Source organism: Homo sapiens, chromosome 1 (genome assembly GCF_000001405.40).
Source record: "Homo sapiens chromosome 1, GRCh38.p14 Primary Assembly".
In the NCBI taxonomy this organism is placed as follows: Eukaryota; Metazoa; Chordata; class Mammalia; order Primates; family Hominidae; genus Homo; species Homo sapiens.
The window spans coordinates 10,452,747-10,472,632 of NC_000001.11; the positions used below are offsets into that span (position 1 = coordinate 10,452,747).

General features: G+C 48.5%; 1 protein-coding gene across 2 annotated transcripts, besides 1 other annotated feature; it reads right to left on the reverse strand.

Moving 5' to 3' along the window:
* DFFA (DNA fragmentation factor subunit alpha) lies at positions 3,776–19,783 on the reverse strand. 2 transcript variants are annotated; one of them, NM_004401.3, is made up of 6 exons: positions 19,577–19,783; positions 16,431–16,592; positions 14,444–14,586; positions 10,685–10,874; positions 10,312–10,463; positions 3,776–8,956 (listed from the first exon to the last, which is right to left on the reverse strand). In NM_004401.3, exons 1-6 carry the CDS (start codon positions 19,710–19,712, stop codon positions 8,744–8,746), a joined length of 996 nt encoding a protein of 331 aa, NP_004392.1. In that variant the 5' UTR covers positions 19,713–19,783; the 3' UTR covers positions 3,776–8,743. The 2 variants fall into 2 exon arrangements, with proteins under 2 accessions (NP_004392.1, NP_998731.1); NM_213566.2 differs by having other exon boundaries at positions 7,785–10,463.
* Positions 19,252–19,351: an enhancer, noted in NCBI's record as "active region_149". NCBI's record gives its function as "activates an Ori minimal core promoter by ATAC-STARR-seq in GM12878 lymphoblastoid cells {active_cell/tissue: GM12878}" and the evidence as "EXISTENCE:reporter gene assay evidence [ECO:0000049][PMID:35858748]".

A 19,886-nucleotide genomic window follows, 5' to 3' on the forward strand; every position in this document is an offset into this window, starting at 1 on the left:
TTCTCTGGACACCAGGGGAGCGGACTCCCTGAGAATGGCTGCTGACCGTCCGTTGTTTTCTGCCGAGCTGAGCTCATATTCATAATTACTAGCTGAATAAAGTATAATGTGATGGAAGAGACTTAATAGCATCCACGTTTCCAAACACAGCAGCTTTAGGAGACCAGGAATTGGGTCAGTGCACTGGTGGAAGATGCCTGCCTGAAAGGCCAGCTAACCTTCCAGAACTTTGTTTTTTTTAAAGATTTTTTCTAGAAAGAAGCCATGCTTATTGTTTTTCAGTTTTTAAATTGGGGTCGGCAGGGCGCGGTGGCTCATGCCTGTAATCCCAGCACTGTGGGAGGTTGAGGCAGGCAGATCACTTGAGGCCAGGAGTTCGAGACCAGCCTGGCCAACATGATGAAACCCTGTCTCGACTAAAAATACAAAAATTACCCAGGCGTGATGGTGCACCCCTGTAATCCCAGCTACTTGGGAGGCTGAGGCACGAGAATCACTTGAGCCTGGGAGGCGGAAGTTGTAGTGAGCCGAGGTCATGCCACTGTACTCCAGCCTGGGTGACAGAACGAGACTCTGTCTCAAAAATAATAGTAAAATAAGATAAAATAGGGGCTGGGCGTGGTGGCTCACACCTGTAATCCCAGCACCTTGGGAGGCCGAGCTGGGTGGATCACCTGAGGTCGGGTGTTCAAGACCAGCCTGATCAACGTGGTGAAACCCTGTCTCTACTAAAAACACCAAAAATTAGCCGGGCTTGGTGGCACATACCTGTAATCCCAGCTACTCAGGAGGCTGAGGCAGGAGAATCACCTTAACCCGGGAGGCAGAGATTGCAGTGAGCCAAGATTGTGCCACTGCACTCCAGCCTGGGCGACAGAGTGAGACTCCGTCTCAAAAAATAAAATACATTGGGGTCATCCACACAGACTTTAAGATTGGGGATTTTACCTTTTAACTAAGTAGTTATCTGTAGGATAATGAGGCTCTACTAGTGCTACTGCCAGGAAATTCAAGTCTAAGCCTACCTTAGTTCAGGGGACTTCATACGACATTAACTGGCATCAGCTGCATGTTAGACCAGATGAATATGCTTGTGATTAATAAATCAGGGTAAAATGGTCATTTCCCACCATCTGGTTTTTGGTGGCCTTTTCTGTAGTTCAGTAGAGTCAGGTGTGTAGATCTGGGTAATCAGGCCCTGGGCAACTTCAAGTTCATGCTCTTGTTATTTTGTCCAGGATTTGGCACCAGAACAGCTCCCTAACTGCTGAGGAGGAATGAAGGACAACAGACACTCACAGCTTTCCTATTTCAGGGCTGGCAGCAAAGGATTCCAGGCTTTAGGAAACTCCTCAGACTGGGAAGCTCAGGGGAGATACTTACCTTGATGTAAGCAGCACCTGTTGAAGGGCAGCCCGTCTTTTTTTTTTTTTTTTTTTTTTTGAGACAGAGTCTCCCTCTGCCACCCAGGCTGGAGTGCAGTGAAGTGATCTTGGCTCACTGTAAGCTCCACCTCCCGGGCTCAGGTCATTCTTCTGTCTCAGCCTCCCGAGTAGCTGGGACTACAGGCACCCGCCACCACACCCAGCTAATTTTTTCTATTTTTTTGTAGAGATGGGGTTTCACCGTGTTAGCCAGGATGGTCTCGATCTCCTGACCTTGTGATCCACCCACCTCAGCCTCCCAAAGTGCTGGGATTACAGGTATGAACCACCGCGCCTGGCCAGGGGCAGCCCATCTTAAAAACAGTAGCGTTTTCCATAGAGAGAGAGGTTTCATTTGGAATGTTTTAGGCCGTTCTTGTGCTGCTATAAAGAAATACCTGGCCAGGTGCGGTGGCTCACGCCTGTAATCCCAACACTTTGGGAGGCCGAAGCAGGCGGATCACAAGGTCAGGATTTCCAGACCAGCCTGACCAAAACGGTGAAACCCCATCTCTACTTAAAAAAAAAAAAAAAAAAAAAATCATGGCACCAGGCATCTGCTCAGTTTCTGGTGAGGCCTCAGGAAGCTTCCAATCATTACAGAAAGCCAAGTAGGACCCAGTGTATCACACAGTGAGAGCAAGAGCAAGAGAGAGACTTGGCCTGAGTAGGGGGATGCCACACACTTTTTTTTTTTTTTTTTTTTTTTGAGAGGGCGTTTCGCTCTTGTTGCCTAGGCTGGAGTGCAATGGCGATCTCGACTCACTGCAACCTCCACCTCCCGGGTTCAAGCAATTCTCCTGCCTTAGCCTCCTGAGTAGCTGGGAGTACGGCTACAGGCATGAGCCACTGTGGTACCACCCCTGGGCTATTTGTAACTTCTTTTTTTTTTTTTTTTTTTTGAGACGGAGTTTTGCTCTTGTTGCCCAGGCTGGAGTGCAATGGCGTGATCTCAGCTCACTGCAACCTCCGCCTCCCAGGTTCAAGCGAGATTCTCCTGCCTCAGCCTCCCGAGTAGCTGGGATTACAGGCATGTACTATCACGCCCGGCAAATTTTTTATTTTTTTTAGTAGAGACAGGGGGTTTCTCCATGTTGGTCAGGCTGGTCTCGAACTCCTGACCTCAGGTGATCTCCCTGCCTCGGCCTCCCAATGTGCTGGGATTACAGGCGTGAACCACCGCGCCTGGCTTTTGTAACTTCTTATAATGCTAGTAAAAATAGTAATTTCTCTTTCCCATTTTGCATTTGTAATTTAAAAAAGTATTTGTCTTATTAAAATAATCAGTCTGGAGGAAAAGCTAGAATTTTGGGGGTGATAGTTCTTTTTTTTTTTTTTTTTTTTGAGACGGAGTCTCGCTTGTCGCCCAGGCTGGAGTGCAGTGGTGCAATCTCAGCTCACTGCAAGCTCCGCCTCCCGGGTTCAGGCCATTCTCCTGCCTCAGCCTCCCGAGTATGGGACTACAGGCGCCTGCCACCACGCCCGGATAATTTTTTTGTATTTTTAGTAGAGATGGGGTTTCACCATTTTATCCAGGATGGCCTCGATCTCTTGACCCCGTGATCCGCCCGTCTCGGCCTCCCAAAGTGCTGGGATTACAGGCGTGAGCCACTGCGCCCAGCCTGGGGGTGATAGTTCTTATAACATGATACTGAAAAATACAGCCAGGTGTGGTGGCTCATGCCTGTAATCCCAGCACTTTGGGAGGCTGAGGACGGTGGATCACATGAGGTCAGAAGTTTGAGACCAGCCTGGCCAACATGGAGAAACCCCATCCCTACTAAAAATACAAAAATTAGCTGGGGGTGGTGGCACGCCCCTGTAATCCCAGCTATTTGGGAGGTTGAGGCAGGAGAATCCCTTGAACCTGGGAGGTGGAGGTTACAGTGAGCTGAGATAGAGCCACTGAACTCCAGCCTGGGTGACAGAGCGAGATTGTCTTAAAAAAAGAAAAGAAAAAGAGTGAAGAAAATCCGCTATCTATGCATTAATCTGTGGGCTCATTTCCTTGCAGCCTTGTGATTGCACGAGTGTTGTCTGATATCATTTGAGCAAGTTGTCAACTCTAAGGTTCTGCAACCTGTAAATGCAGTGCAGCTCCTGGGGAGGGCGTCTGTCCCCCTGGCTGGAGGCTCTCAAACAGAATGGAGACCCTCACTGTCAGACCTATTGGGAGGACTCAGGCGGTGGATGGGGGTTCAGACTAGATCATGTCCAAGGTCCTTAAAAACCACAAGGTGTATAAGATGCAGCCAAAATGATTTAAGGCAAAACCCCACAAACAAGATGGACAAAAACCCTCAAGGTGAAAAAGAAAAAAAAAAAAAAAAAAAAAAAGCTTGAACAGGTAATTAGGAAATTAAACAGCTAAATAATGTGGTTATTTATTAAAGATACATTAATAATTCTTGTAATTGATGCAGGTTTTCTTTTTTCTACAGACTACTATTATTTTATTCTTGTCTCTCTGGAAAATGAAAAATCCATTAGTTTTTCTCTTTTGCTTTTACCCAGAAATTAAAGGTTGGTAAGTGGTAATTAGCGTAGCTCCTGTCAAAGCCAGTTGCCTCATGAGGACCGACATTTGACTTAAGCTGAAATAATGGAATATGGCTAATGTAAAGTTCATTAGTCCCAGCTGCTTTCTTTGACATTCTTTTCTTCTACCACAAGAACGGGCATGCCCTGCCCTCTCTCACTCCTATTTTTAGACGTATTGCTGCGCTCCTATGTGTCTATTCTACAAGGCTGGAGGCACAGTGGTTATAGGGAAGGTAAATGGTAATGGGACAATATGTCTGTGACCACGTTCATTACACATCTGGGATAGAGCTCTGACTCTTTGATAGAGGACTCCAGCACCCCATCTGTCTGCCCCTGAGAAACGAAAGAGAACCACTCTCCACTGTCTACTATATGTTAGGTACTAGGATTTTTCTCATTATAGCACTTCATTCCTTTCTTGGGGGGGACTGGATTATTTATTTTGAGACAGGGCCTCACTCTGCCACCCAGGATGGAGTGCAGTGGCACGATCACAGCTCATTGTAGCCTCGAACTCCTGGGCTCAAGTGATCCTTCTGCCTTAGCCTCCCGAGTATCTAGGATTACAGGCATGTACCACTACACCCGGCTAATTTTTATTTTTTACATTTTTGTAGAGATGGGGTCTTGCTATGTTCCCCAGGTCGGTCTGTCGGTCATGTGGTACTTCATTTAGGCCAGGCGTGGTGGCTCACCACCTATACTCCCAGCACTTTGGGAGGCCAAGGCAGGTGGATCACTTGAGGTCAGGAGTTTGAGACCAGTCTAGCCAACATGGTGAAACCCTGTGTCTACTAAAAATACCAAAAAAAACTTAGCCGGGTGTGGTGGCGGGCACCTGTAATCCCAGCTACTCTGGAGGCTGAGGCAAGAGAATCGCCTGAACCTGGGAGATGGAGGTTGCAGTGAGCAGAGATTGTGCCACTACACTCCAGCCTGGGCAACAGAGCAAAGCCTCAAACAAAACGAAAACGAAACAAAACAAATATAGTACTTCATTTAACCCTTTCAAGCTTGGAGCCTTAGACTAACTGAGAGGTTAGACTCAAGCCGGTTTGTCTCACTCCCAAATCCACAGGACATTTTCCATTATCCACCCAGTTCAGCCGCTTGGTGGGCTTGCTTCAAGTACAGAATATTAACACTAACGCCCAGACGAGTCAACGAACGCTCTGTGTGTCTAACAGAAATAAAATATTCTGGCTGGGTGTGGTGGCTCATGCCTGTAATCCCAAAATTCTGGGAAGCTGATGTGGGAGGATTGCTTGAGGCCTGGAGTTTGAGACCAGCCTGGGTAACATGGTGAGTTTTAATGTACCCTGGATTTCCTAGGAATGTAGCTACTCTGTAAATCAAGGACAGACACGTTTACTGTTCTGGGAAATCCCATTTCCAAGGGCAACGCTGCTGACGGTGTTTGAGCTGACAATCCCCGTGCCCCATGTGCCAATCAGCCTCTGTCGGATGCACAGCGATTCCGTGTGTAAGTGCAAGCATCTGACAGTGAAACACACACCACTTTGTTGGAAATTATTTTCCTTTTTGCCCTGAAACAGTACATCTGGGGCATTATATTAATGCTTCTGTATGAGTGTAGGTAGCTTATCAGCGGTGGCTTCTATTAAAGGATAATTAAGGAGGCATTACAAAATAAGCTATAAAAAAGGAAATGTTGGGGTGAGAGCCAATGGAGGGCATTAGTAAAAGGATGCTGAGTAGAAGATCTAAGCCCTTCTTGAATCACAGGAAAAGGAAACAGTTGTTTTTGTTCTATTTAATTGTTTTCTGTACCCCCATCTTTACCCTAGGACTTATTGTGATTTTCTTTTTTTTTTTTTTTTAAAGACAGAGTCTCATTCTGTCACCCAGGCTGGAGCCCAGTGGCAGGATCTCAGCTCAGTGCAATCTCCACCTCCTGGGTTCAAGCGATTCTCATGTCTCAGCCTCCTGAGTAGCTGGGATTACAGGTGCCCACCATCACGCCTGGCTAATTTTTGTATTTTTAGTAGACTGGGTTTTGTCACGTTGGCCAGGCTGGTCTCAAACTCCTGACCTCAGGTGATCCATCTGCCTTGGCCTCCCAAAGTGCTGGGACTGCAGGTGTGAGCCACTGCGCCCGGCCTATTGTGACATATTGTGATATTTCTTTCTTTTTTGTGTGACAGTGTCTCACTCTGTTGCAGGCTGGAGTACAGTGGCACAATTTCGGCTCACCTCCACCTCCACTTCCTGGGTTCAAGCAATTCTCATGCCTCAGCCTCCCAAGTAACTGGGACTACAGGCGTGTACCACTACACCCGGCTAATTTTTTATAATTTCAGTAGAGACGGGGTTTCACCATGTTGGCTAGGCTGGTCTCGAACTCCTGACCTCAGGTGATCCGCCCACCTTGGCCTCCCAAAATGCTGGGATTACAGGTGTGAGCCACTGCGCCCGGCCTATTGTGATATTTCTTTACTTAATAACTAGCAGATGAATCTCTTAACAGTATTCTGTTTTCCTCTAAGCATGCATAAAAAGTGGTCAAATAAGTCCATGATGACTCATCACCTTTTCCCTGCAAGGAGTGTACTGTAGATTACCAAACCTGCAGAAGCCGTCTGTGTGGAGACAGGAGGAGGACAAACCAGGCTTGCTCTGCTTCACACCCAGAGACCTGGAGCCACAGCATGTGGAAATTGCTTTCATGACCTTTTATACCCCCTGCTGATAAAGCAATTAGAAAACTGAAGAGTTTCACGGTGGTGAGATAGAATTTCACAATACTGAGTGAGATATTAGCAATGGACTCTCCGTATGTCCCTATGGTCTACAAGCTTAATATGTATCTTTAAACAAACACATAAAAAAATTCATTAACTGGAGAAACAAGATTGTGGCCATAGTCAACACTCTATAATGTCACCATCTTCACCACTATCTCTGCTTAAAATTCTGCCGTACTATCTTCAGAATAAGGATAATGAATTGGAAATACGACCATTTCTTTTCATTGCCCTTGATGGTTACCTTTTTAAAAAAAAAAAAAAAAAAGTAGGGTCTTACTCTATCATCCAGGCTGGAGTATGGTGGCATGATCAGCCTTGAGCTCCTGGGCTCAAGTGATACTCTCGCCTTAGCCTCCAGAGTAGCTAGGATTATAGGTCAGTGCCACCATGCCTGGCTAACTTAAATTTTTTTTTTGTAGAGACAGGGTCTTGCTATGTTGCCTAAGCTGACAATTACTTTATTTAAAAGCTTTTTTTTCTGGCCAGGGGTGGTGGCTCACACCTGTAATCCCAGCACTTTGGGAGGCTGAGGTGGGTGGATCACCTGAGGTCAGGAGTTTGAGACCAGCCTGGCCAATGTGACAAAACCCTGTCTCTACTAAAAATACAAAAATTAGCCGGGCATGGTGGCACGTGCCTGTAATCCCAGCTGCTCAGGAGGCTGAAACAGGAGAATCGCTTGAACCTGGGAGGTGGGGGTTGCAGTGAGCCGAGAATGTGCCACTGCACTCCAGACTAGGTGACAGAGTGAGACTCTGTCTCAAAAAAACAAAACAAAACTTTTTTTTTTTCTTGAGATACGGAGTCTAGCTCTGTCACCCAGGCTGGAGTGCAGTGGTGCGCTCTCAGCTCACTGCAACCTCTGCCTACCGAGTAGCTGGGATTACAGGCACCCGCCATCATGCCCAGCTAATTTTTGTATTTTTAGTAGAGACGGGGTTTCACCATATTGGCCAGGTTGGTCTTGAACTCCTGACCTCATGTGATCCGCCTGCATCGGCCTCCAAAGTGCTGGGATCAAAGGTGTGAGCCACTGTCGTGCCTGTCCTTTTTTTTTTTTTTTTTGAGACAGAGTGTCACTCTGTCACCCAGGCTGGAGTACAGTGGCATAATCTCGGCTCACTGCAACTTCTGCCTCCCCGGTTCAAGCAATTCTCCTGCCTCAGCCTCCCGAGTAGCTGGGACTACAGGCTCCTGCCACCACGCCCAGCTAGTTTTTTGTACTTTTAGTAAAAACACGTTTCACTGTGTTAGCCAGGATGGTCTCGATCTCCTGACCTCGTGATCCACCCGCCTCGGCCTCCCAAAGTGCTGGGATTACAAGCGTGAGCCAACACGCTCGGCCTGGCTTTTTTTTTTTTTAACATGTTCCATATGGGGCAGGGCTAAATGTTAGGCAGTGCGCCCATAGTCACTGCCAATTACTTTTTTTTTTTTTTTTTTTGAGACGGAGTCTCGCTCTGTTGCCCAGGCTGGAGTGCAGTGGCGCAATCTCAGCTCACTGCAAGCTCTGCCTCCCAGGTTCATGCCATTCTCCTGCCTCAGCCTCCCAAGTAGCTGGGATTACAGGCGCCCGCCACCATGGCTGGCTAATTTTTTTTGTATTTTTAGTAGAGACAGGGTTTCACCATGTTAGCCAGGATGGTCTCGATCTCCTGACTTCACGATCCGCCCCCCTCGGCCTCCCAGTGCTGGGATTACAGGCGTGAGCCACTGCGCCTGGCCAATCACTGCCAATTACTTTTGAACAGAGAACATCATATGTAATTAGAGGAGGCGGGATATTGTTGGTGCAGCTATATCATTCAAAATTGGCAGAAGTCCTGAAGCTGGTGGGGCTAAAAAAAAAATTGGTGGAACGGCGTATGTTGAGACCTGGAATAGCTTCTCTGGAAGGTGCTCTAAGGCAGGGGGTAGAGTAGTACATAGGTAGTCAAATGATGAGGCTGAGGGTGTCTACCAATAACACAACGCCACAGAGCTTCCTTGGCACACTTCCCGCTGCTGCTATGTGGGATCCTGTCTGGCTCGCTTAGGATTCTGCAGGTCACCAGGTGGTGAGGCCTTGCTTGCTGAGATGCTCCGGAGAGAATGCAAGCTCTGCGTCTGCTGCAGGCGCAGGGCGAGCTCCCGCTCACAGGCCTCCTGAACAGTCTCCGTCTTCTTTATGTCCCAGTTCAAGGCAACAGCCAGTGCTTTGGGGTCTTCCTTGGTAACCAACTGCAGCAAGAATAAAAACCCCTGAGAACTGGGCCTTCTGTGCGCCTCTCCTGCTGCTCTCCTGACTCTCTTTTGGGGAGTGCAATGAGGCAGTATCCGTTTATGTTACCTCTTTACACTGAAATGCCGGGTTTCCTTTACCATTAATTGCCACGGGCTTTTTGTTTTTTGAGACGGAGTCTCGCTCTGTCACCCAGGCTGGAGTGCAGTGACACTATCTCGGCTCCCTGCAAGCTCCGCCTCCCGGATTCACGCCATTCTCCTGCCTCAGCCCCCTGAGTAGCTGGGACTACAGGTGCCCACGACCACGCCTGGCTAATTTTTTTGTATTTTTTTTAGTAGAGACGGGGTTTCACCGTGTTCGCCAGGATGGTCTCGATCTCCTGACCTTGTGATCCGCCCACCTTGGCCTCCCAAAGTGCTGGGATTACAGGCGTGAGCCACCGCGCCCAGCCTGCCATGGGCTTTTTTAAGACGGAGTTTCACTCTTGTCGCCCAGGCTGGAGTGCAGTGGCGCGATCTTAGCTCACGCAACCTCCACCTCCTGGGTTCAAGTGATTCTCTTGCTTCAGCCTCCCACCACCATGCCAGGCTAATTTTTGTATTTTTAGTAGAGATGGGGTTTCGCCATGTTGGTCAGGCTGGTCTCGAACTCCTGACCTCAGGTGATCCACCTGCCTCGGCCTCCCAAAGTACTGGCATTAACAGGCGTAAGCCACTGTGCCCGGACAAGCATGGGCCTTTTCTTACAACACCAACAGGAAGAAGTCCTTGGAAAGTTTACTTGGAGCAACTCTAAGGTCCTCCACCTTCAGGAAATTTAGCCAAGCTCAAGTCAACAGTTTCCTTCCCTTCTATCTACAATAGGGAGGTACTTATGACAGGGACAAGGACAATGAATCAGAAGTAGCACCCACCCAGGCAGGTTCCCTTCCTCAAGTTTTTAGCTCCCTGGTCTTAGCCAGCAGGCGACGATCCCCTCAAGTTTGCCTTTTCCTGTGACATTGACAGACCTCAGGACGGACTATAGATCTTCTCTGACCATGGAAAGACCCAGAAGCCATCTCAGAAGATTGGGCCCTGCTATTCCTCCCTGTCAGGAACAGTCATTTCATTACCAACCTTGGACCAGAGTCTGTTTGATGATCTGAGGAAGTGTATGCATTTTTCTTTAAAGCTATTTTGATTTAGATTAATGAGATTTTTGCAAATGCCTTGGCATATAATAGGCAAACTGGCAGCTAGGATTCACAGTCTGCAGAGGTGAACAAAAGGGCCCACACACCTCTGCATGATACTACTACATCCCAGGGCATGTCCTCCTCTGTAGCTCAGTGACCCTGGTTTCCGCCCACCTCCAAATCCTGACTAGATAAGCTCAGCTCTGGAGCCTGCTTCTCCCTCAGTGCAGTAAGGATGTGGCTCGCCAGCGCAACGTCCGAGGAGGTCTCTCTGCTGATACCCGTGTCTACTGCATCCACCTCCTCACCAAAGGCAGCTTTGGACTCTGCAAAGGAGACACGAGACAGAGATCAGACGTGGTGTGACCACACAGCCACATGAACAACTCGCCAGAATAACTGGCCGGGCAAGAGAGAAACGTGCCCGTCCCGCATCCCAGCAGCCGCGGCTTCAGTGGCCCTGGCTACATCACAAATAGTGTCCTCCCAAGGGACGCCTCCATCAGCCCTGAATTCTCAGAGTGACTCTGCCTGCAGAGAGTCCTACCTTCCTGCTTTGACAAGAGGCTGCCCTCTTTCTCCAAAGCCTGGAGGTACAGCTGCAGGAGCTGCTTGGACTGACGCACTTCCTCTCTTTGGTCAAGCACCTGTTGGAGTGTGTGCTGCAGCCGCTGGACGGTGGCACAACTCTGACGTAGTTCCTGAGCCAGGTCTGAGCAGGGAGCGTCAACAAGCATCTAACAAACAAACACAGACGCTTAGAAATCTACAGGGACTTTCTGACTTTCTTTTTTTTTTTTGAGACGGAGTCTGCTCTGTTGCCCAGGCTGGAGTGCGATGGTGTGATCTCGGCTCACTGCAACCTCCGCCTCCTGGGTTCAAGCAATTTTCCTGCCTCAGCCTCCCTAGTAGCTGGGATTACAGGCATGTGCTACCAAGCCCAGCTAATTTTTGTATTTTTAGTAGAGACGGGGTTTTGTCATGTTGGCCAGGCTGGTCTTGAACTCCTGACCTCAGGTGATCCACCCGCCTTGGCCTCCCAAAGTGCTGGGATTACAGGTGTGAGCTACTGCGCCCGGCCTACAAGGACTTTCTAAACACGGTGTTCTACCTCTCAAATACATCCATTTCAGAACTCAATGCATCCATTTCCCAAAGTTACCTACTATGATAGTTGGCAGACAGTCAAGAGAAAAGCATGTAATTTTTCTAATTTTTTTTTTTTTTGAGACAGAGTCTCGCTCTGTCACCCAGGCTGGAGTGCAGTGGCACGATCTCGGCTCACTGCAAGCTCCGCCTCCTGGGTTCACGCCATTCTCCTGCCTCAGCCTCCTGAGCAGCTGGTACTACAGGTGCCTGCCACCACGCTTGGCTAATTTTTTGTATTTTTAGTAGAGACGGGGTTTCACCGTGTTAGCCAGGATGGTCTCGATCTCCTGATCTTGTGATCCACCCGCCTCGGCCTCCCAAAGTGCTGGGATTACAGGTGTGAGCCACCGTGCCCGGCCAATTTTTCTAATTTTCTTTTAGTGTTAAAATTGGGAAGAAGGGTCGGGTGTAGTGGCTTACACCTATAATCCCAGCACTCTGGGAGGCTGAGGTAGGAGGACTGCTTGAGCTCAGGAGTTTAAGACCAGCCTGGGCAACATGGTGAAACCCTGTCTTTACCAAAAATATAAAAATTCACCAGGCATGGTGGAGTACGCCTGTGGTCCCAGCTACTTGGAAGGCTGAGGTGGGAGGATCGCTTGAGCCCAGCAGGCAGATGGTGCAGTGAGCTGAGATTGCACTACTGCACTCCAGCCTGGGTGACAGAGCTAGACCCTGTCTCAAACCAAACCAAACCAAAACAAAAAACACCAAGAAATCATTTCCTCAAAGAGGCCTTCCTCCGTGTTCCAGTCTAGAGTAGCCTCCATCACTCTCTGCATACCACTGTCTGATATGCTTTCCTGTTGCTTTCTGCCTCCCTTCATCAGAATACAAGTACCGTTAGAGCAGAGACTGTGTCTGGCTTGTTCGCCACTGCACACCCAGTGCATAGAACCATGACAGGCACAGGATGGGGCTCAATAAATATGTTTTGGGTCAAGCACAGAGGCTCATATCAATAATCCCAGCACTTTGGGAGGCCAGGGTGGGAGGACTGCCTGAGCCCAGGAGTTCAAGACCAGCCTAGGCAACCTGTGAAGACCTCCTCTCTATAAAACATTAATTAATTATTTTTTTTGAGACTGAGTCTTGCTCTGTCACCAGGTTGGAGTGCAATGACGTGATCTCGGCTCACCGCAACCTCCGCCTCCTGGGTTCAAGCTATTCTCCTGCCTCAGCATCCTGAGTAGCTGGGACTACAGGCACACGCCATCACGCCCAGCTAATTTTTGTAATTTTTTTGTTTTTTGAGACAGAGTCTTGCTCTGTCTCCCAGGCTAAAATGCAGTGGCGTGATCTCTGCTCACTGCTACCTCCCCCTCCCAGGTCAAGTGATTCTCCTGCCTCAGCCTCCTGAGTAGCTGGGATTACAGGTGCTTGCCGCCACGCCTGGCTAATTTTTATATTTTTAGTAGAGACGGGATTTCACCATCTTGGCCAAGCTGGTCTTGAACTCTTGACCTTGTGATCCACCCTCCTCAGCCTCCCAAAGTGCTGGGATTACAGGCGTTAAGCCACCGTGCCCGGCTGTATTTTTAGTAAAGACGGGGTTTCACCATGTTTGCCAGGATGGTCTTGATCTCTTGACATCGTGATCTGCCCGCCCCGGCCTCCCAAAGTTCTAGGATTATAGGTGTGAGCCACCACGCCTGGCTTTATTTATTTATTTATTTATTTTTGAGACAGGGTCTTGCTTTGTTGCCCAGGTTGGTGTGGTATAGTCATGGCTCACTGAAGCCTTGACCACCTGGGCTCAAGTGATCCTTCTGCCTCAGTTTCCTGAGTAGCTGGAACTACAGGCACACGCCACCACACCTAGCTAATTTTTGTAGAGATAGGGTTTTACCACATCAAACTCCTGAACTCAGGCAATCTGCTCACCTTGGCCTCCCAAAATGCTAGGATTACAGGTATAAGCCACTGCACCTGGCCTACAAAAATTAAAAAAAAAAAAAAAGAAAAAATAGCGCAGTGTGGTGGTGCAAGCCTACAGTCTCAGCTACCTGAGAGGTTGAGGTGGGAGGATGGCTTGAGCCCAGGAAGTCGAGGATGCAGTGAGCTATGATCATGCCACTGCACTGGGTGACAAAGCAAGACCCTGTCTCAAAGAGAAATTTTCTTTGAATGAAAACATACTGTTTTTATCCCAATCTTTTTTTTCTTTTTGAGATGGAGTCTCTCTCTGTCACCCAGGCTGGAGTGCAGTGGTGCGATCTCGGCTCACTGCAAGCTCCACCTCCTGGGTTCAGGCGATTCTTCTGCCTCAGCATCCCGAGTAGCTGGGACTACAGGTACAGGTGCACACCACCAGGCCCGGCTAATTTTTTGTATTTTTAGTAGAGATGGGGTTTTACCATGTTAGCCAGGATGGTCTCGATCTCCTGACCTCGTGATCTGCCCGCCTCGGCCTCCCAAAGTGCTGAGATTACAGGCGTGAGCCACTGCACCTGGCCTATCCCAATCTTACTAGAGAGAAAACACAAGGAGAGAAGCTAAGCTACTGGCTCAAAGTCGTGGTGACAGCGCTGGGATGTGAAGCCATCTACTCCAACGCTACATTCTCTAGCAGGGCATCCCTGACCCCAGCGTCCACCTAACTAGGTTTAGGGTGGATCCCAGGCATTTGTATTAAAAAAAAAATCTGGCCGGGCACGGTGGCTCACGCCTATAATCTCAGCACTTTGGGAGGCTGAGGCAGGTGGATCACTTGAACTCAGGAGCAGCCTGGCCAACATGATGAAACGCTGTCTCTACTAAAAATACCAAAATTAGCCAGGCGTGTTGGTGTGCACCTGTAATTCCAGCTACCTGGGACGCTGAGACAGGAGAATTGCTTGAACCCGGGAGGTGGAGACTGCAGTGAGCTGAGATTGCACCACTGCACTCCAGCCTGGGCGACAGAGTAAGACTGTGTCTCAAAAAAAAAAAAAAAAAAAAAAAAAAATCCACAGGTAATTCTGCTTCGTGACGAGGGTTGAAAAATTACTCTAGGTGAGAATGAGAAGATGAAAAATCTTAGTTGTAATTTAAGAATTATTTAAAAATTAAGATTAAAACAAAGAAATTGCTATGGCAAGTATGGAAGCTAAGAAGGTGCTGGGGCGGGGGGCAGAGGCTGGATGAACATTGTTGCAGGTTGTGGAGGAGGCTTTACCTGGAGGTCCTCCTCTGATAGGAGGATGATGCTGGACAGATCTTCTTTCAGCTGCCTGGCCACATTCTTCCACTTCAACCCTGCCCCGCTGTCTGTTTCATCTACATCAAAGGACTCTTGGGAAATCCAAGCTGTACCTCCATCTGACACATGGGAGAAAATGCCAGTCACAGAACAACCTGAAGTGCTGTTTTCACCTCCTCCCCCAGCACACACAGACCTCTTGAGGATCTAGATTAATTTCAATGGGAAAGAAGCATCTTATCTCAAGGATTCACAGGAGGGTCAATATCCATCCAGGACCTTGATTTTCCCTCTTCTTTCATTTTTTTTTTTTTTGAGACAGAGTCTCACTCTGTTGCCCAGGCTGGAGTGCAGTGGCACGATCTTGGCTCACTGCAACCTCCACTGCCCGAGTTCAAGCGATTCTCCTGCCTCAGCCTTGCAAGTAGCTGGGATTACAGGTGCCCACCACCATGACCAGCTAATTTTGGTATTTTTAGTAGAGACGGGCTTTCACCATGTTGGCCAGGCTGGTCTCAAACTCCTGACTTCAAGTGATCTGCCCACCTCGGTCTCCCAAAGTGCTGGGATTACAGGCATAAGCCACCGTGCCTGACCCTCTTTCATCTTTATCTCTGTGTGCAACGGCTCTGTATTCTTCCATAGAAAAAGCCATTTAAACCCAATGTGTGGTCACACCTACAAGGAATCCAATCACACTTCCCTTTCTGGTTTCTGTGTGTCCAGGTGTGTCCTGTTTTTTATACGAAAACGGTCATTTGTGCCAGCATTTCTCTGTGCTTGGGGATTGGTCCCTTCTTTAACTGGCAGAGCTGTAGCCATCGATTGCTGTCCCTTAGGCCTGAGCACAAAGGTGGCTGGTAGGGCCACTGCTGTAGGATGACTTCCTCAATTTTGTGGCACACTTCAGGACACTTTTTTTTTTTTTAAGTCCCTCCCTAAAACTAATCCCCTCTCAAGACACTTCTTGATCCTTGGTCACCAATGTTAGTCCCCTTTCTATCTCCTGTGATGATGATGATGGCAGGGACAGGTAACAATTATTGAGTCCTTAACTATGTGCCAGGTAAGATCTAAACACTTCATATCAGTGGTTCTCAAGTGGGAGCAATTTTGCCCCCCAGGAGACATCTGACAATATCTGGAGTCATTTATTCTTGGTTATCACAGTTGTGGGGGGAGGTTCGTAACATCTAGGATGCTACTAAACGTCCTATCATACACAAAGCATCCTCTTCACAACTCCAGCCCCAAATGTCAGCAGTGTCATTGAGAAACCCTGGTTTGATATGTACTATATTATCTTTACAACAATCTTAGGGGACAGGTTCTATAATTATTATGTCAACAAGGCACTGAGAAGTTATGTAATTTGCACAAGGTCACCTGGTTAGTAAATGGTAGAGCCAGGATCCAGACCTCAACAGCTGGACTGCAGCCTGCAGCACTGAGCTCCCTGCCAGGCTGCATTTCAGTTGCTGTCTGTCCATGAGTTAGTTGAGAACTGGGCCCATGTCTCATTCATCTATTTTTTTTTTTTTTTGAGACAGAGTCTCGTTCTGTCGCCCAGGCTGGAGTGCAGTGGCACAATCTCAGCTCACTGCAACCTCCACCTCCCAGGTTCAAGCAATTCTCCCGCCTCAGCCTCCCAAGTATCTGGGATTACAGGTGCCTGCCACCATGCTCAGCTAGTTTTTGTATTTTCAGTAGAGATGGACTTTCGCCATGTTGGCCAGGCTGGTCTCAAACTCCTGAGCTCAGGTGATCTGCCCACCGTGCCTGGCCTCATTCATCTTTATCCCCAGGACTCAGCACCATGTCTGGCACATAGAAAGTGCTCAGTAAATATCTGTTGAACAAATGCTTAAAAAGCCAGACAAATGGCAATTGTCTGTGCAGTGAAAGTAATCATGATGGATGCTGTACTGCATAGGCCGTTTTATACATGGCTAGAGTTTCTTACCTGAATTGTTGTATGCCCATTTCTCATTACTAGCCAATGCCACAAACTTAGTATTGGAAGGTAGACACAGAAAGTAATCGTCATCATCCACTATGGTGCCATCCTCTGCCAGGACCAGGGTGACTGGTGTCAGGGACTTATCAATGGCCAGAATGTCACAGGCTGAAAAGAATAAAATATTTGGCAAATGACAAATAACCGTAAGGAAATTACATCTATCCCTGCATCTCAAGTATGTATGGCTCCAGAGCTGAGCAGAACTCCTGGTAGGTAATAACTAGAATCACAATCATCACTTCTAGCACTACCAGAACACTCATCACGTGCCTGATTCTGTTCTAAGTGTTCTTTTCTTTTTTTTTGTAGCAGGGTCTCACTCTGTTACCCAGGCTGCAGTGCACTGGCGCGATCTCGGCTCACTGAAACCTCTGCCTCCCAGGTTCAAGTGATTTTCCTGCCTCAGCCTCCCGAGTAGTTGGGATTATAGGCGTGCACCACCATGTCCGGCTAATTTTTGTATTTTTAGTAGAGACGTGGTTTCACCATGTTGACCAGGCTGGTCTCGAACTCCTGACCTCATGATCCACCCGCCTTGGCCTCCCAAAGTGCTGGGATTAGAGGCATGAGCCACTGTGCTCAGCCCTAAGTGCTTTTCTTTCTTTCTTTTTTTTTTTTTTTGAGACAGGCTGGCGTGCAGTAGTACAATCTTGGTTCACAGCAACCTCCGCCTCCCGGGTTCAAGCAACTCTCTGCCTTAGTCTCCCGAGTAGCTGGGACTACAGGCACCGGCCACCGTGCCTGGCTAATTTTTGTATTTTTAGTAGAGACGGGGTTTCACCATCTTGGCCAGTCTGGTCTGGAACTCCCGACTTAATGATCTACCTGCCTCGGCCTCCCAAAGTGCTAGGATTACAGGCATGAGCAACCGCGCCTGGCCTAAGTGCTTTTCATATACAGTATTTAATCTCATAATAATCCTGTAAAGTAGGTACTTTTATTAGTTCTGTTTTATAGATGATGAACCCAAGGCTCAGAGAGGTTAAGTAACTTGTCTAAGATCACACAGTAAGTGGCAAAGCTGGGATTTAAACCCACAAAGTCTGGCTCCTGAAAGTATGTTTACTCCAGCTACTCCACACTCATGTATGGTAGGCATTTGAGTTTTTACTGGAGTGAACAACCAATCAAAGTCTAGTTTGATTCCTTGCAAACAAGCAGTCTCTCATTCATTTATTCAGTTTTCCTCTTTTTTTTTTTTTTTTTTTTGAGACGGAGTCTCACTCTGTCGCCCAGGCTGGAGTGCCCAGGCGCTATCTGGGCTCACTGCAAGCTCCGCCCCCCGGGTTCACGCCATTCTCCTGCTTCAGCCTCCGGAGTAGCTGGGATTACAGGCGCCCACCACCACGCCCGGCTAATTTTTTTGTATTTTTAGTAGAGACGGGGTTTCACCGTGTTAGCCAGGATGGTCTCGATCTCCTGACCTCGTGATCCGCCCACCTCGGCCTCCCAAAGTGCTGGGATTACAGGTGTGAGCCACCGGACCCGGCCCTCAGGTGTCCTCTTAAATTCTCCTATGTGTAAAAATGTCAAAAAATACACCAAAAAGGCCAGGCACGGTGGCTCACGTCTGTAATCCCAGCACTTTGGGAGGCCGAGGCGGGTGGATCACAAAGCAGGCAATCGAGACCATCCTGGCTAACATGGTGAAAAACCGTCTCTGCTAAAAAATACAAAAAATTAGATGGGCGTGGTGGTGGGCGCCTGTAGTCCCAGCTACTCGGGAGGCTGAAGCAGGAGAATGGAGTGAACCCGGGAGGCGGAGCTTGCAGTGAGCCGAGATAGCGCCACTGCACTCCAGCCTGGGTGACAGAGTGACACTCCGTCTCAAAAAAAAAAAAAAAAAAAGAAAATGCTTTTTGTTCTTTACAGTATCTTCCTTAGCAGCTTCTTTTCTAACCTATGGGAAAGTATAAAAGAAGTGGAAGCTTCTATCAGTAGCTTTTCATATCATTATCATTGGCGGAGAGGCTTTCTCCAGGACAGGTCTGTACTATTCCATTTAGTGATAGCAATGCTTCAAATACTAACGGGACTGGAGTGATCAGAAATAGCCAAGAGACTACAAATATCCTTCAGCGGTGTTGTCTACCACCCAATAGAACAGCAAGGCATGTATGCGCTGGACTGCAGAGAACACCAGCCTCTGTGCCACGCACATCCAGCCACGGCACTGAAGGGGAATTAGAAGTAAAGTAATCTAATGTCAGGAAAAAAAATACATAAATGCTTATATGCAAAATCCATGTTACCAAAGCATTTATAATGCTTTGGCTGTTCATGGGTCTCTGAAAATTTCCATATGATTTCTGTTGGTGACTGAGAGGAAGCAACTGTGCCCTCTGACACACACTGTGACTACATGCCTGGGGCTGGCTCACACATGTAACCTGTAAAACTTCTTTGGGTAAGCGATTTGTTGCTACTGGCTAATAAGACTTGTAAGTCACTTAAATATATCATCTTATTTGAGAGAACCAACAACCCTTTGAAGCAGGGCTATAAATATTATACCCAATTTGCTGATGAGAAAACTGAGGGTTGAGAGCTGGTTAAGTGCAAGGCCAAGCAGCTGGTAAAGGTATGGGGCCGGGCTCGGAACTTCCGTCGGCTCCGTCACTTACAACTCACGTTCCTTGTCTGGACCTCCAGAAATGGTCAGTAGCAGCTCCCTCTTTCCTGCATAGGTTCCTGCCAGAGCGGACGGTGGAAACCCCTCCCCACACCGCCGTGGGCTCAGCTGGGGGTTCTTGTACCATCTGAGTGTGGCGGAGTGGCAGGAACCCAGTGGGGTCCGTTTGGTCCAACATCGAAGTGATTTCAGGCAAGAGACCTAAGCCGAGTCTGGCTTAATTTGCACATTGCTTCCTGGCTGTCTTCCCACCACCGTGGAGTCTCACACGAGATTAATTACGCTCAAGCGCCTTAAATCTGTAAATCGCTATGCCCACTCGGACCGTTTCTGTCCCAAGCCTCCACCCGAGATACAAGAATCCCCAAGTCGCCTCTCCTGACCCCGCCTCGCCCCCGCCGGACGTCCTCACCCGGCCCTGGCTCCCCCACACCCTCGCCCGGGGTCCCGAGCCAACCCTTGCTCCTCAGGTCTTCGAGGCAGGAGGCGGCCACGCCGTGCTGTTCGCGGCTGTAGTTGCGGCGCAGCAGACACGGCTTTAGAGTCCGGATCTCGCCAGATTCTGGTACCCCGGCGTCCCCGGTCACCTCCATCCTCCACAAGGTGGGACCTGCCCACCTTCGAGAAGTCGCGGGAGGCCGGAGCGGCGGTCCTTCTACTCGACCCCCTTCCGCAGCCTGCCGGGAGATGTAGTTCGTTCCGCAGCAAATCACACGTGAGACCAGGGCACGCCGGGAAATGTAGTTCTAGTTGCCGCTAATCACGTG

Excerpts from the sequence above, each read along its gene's own strand:
- DFFA (NM_004401.3), bottom strand. The coding sequence starts at position 19,712 with ATGGAGGTGACCGGGGACGCCGGGGTACCAGAATCTGGCGAGATCCGG. Across the intron at positions 10,875-14,443 it reads TATCAGAGGAGGACCTCCAG|ATGCTTGTTGACGCTCCCTG; the intron begins GTAAAGCCTCCT and ends TTTGTTTGTTAG. Across the intron at positions 8,957-10,311 it reads TATCTAGTCAGGATTTGGAG|TTGGTTACCAAGGAAGACCC; the intron begins GTGGGCGGAAAC and ends TTCTTGCTGCAG.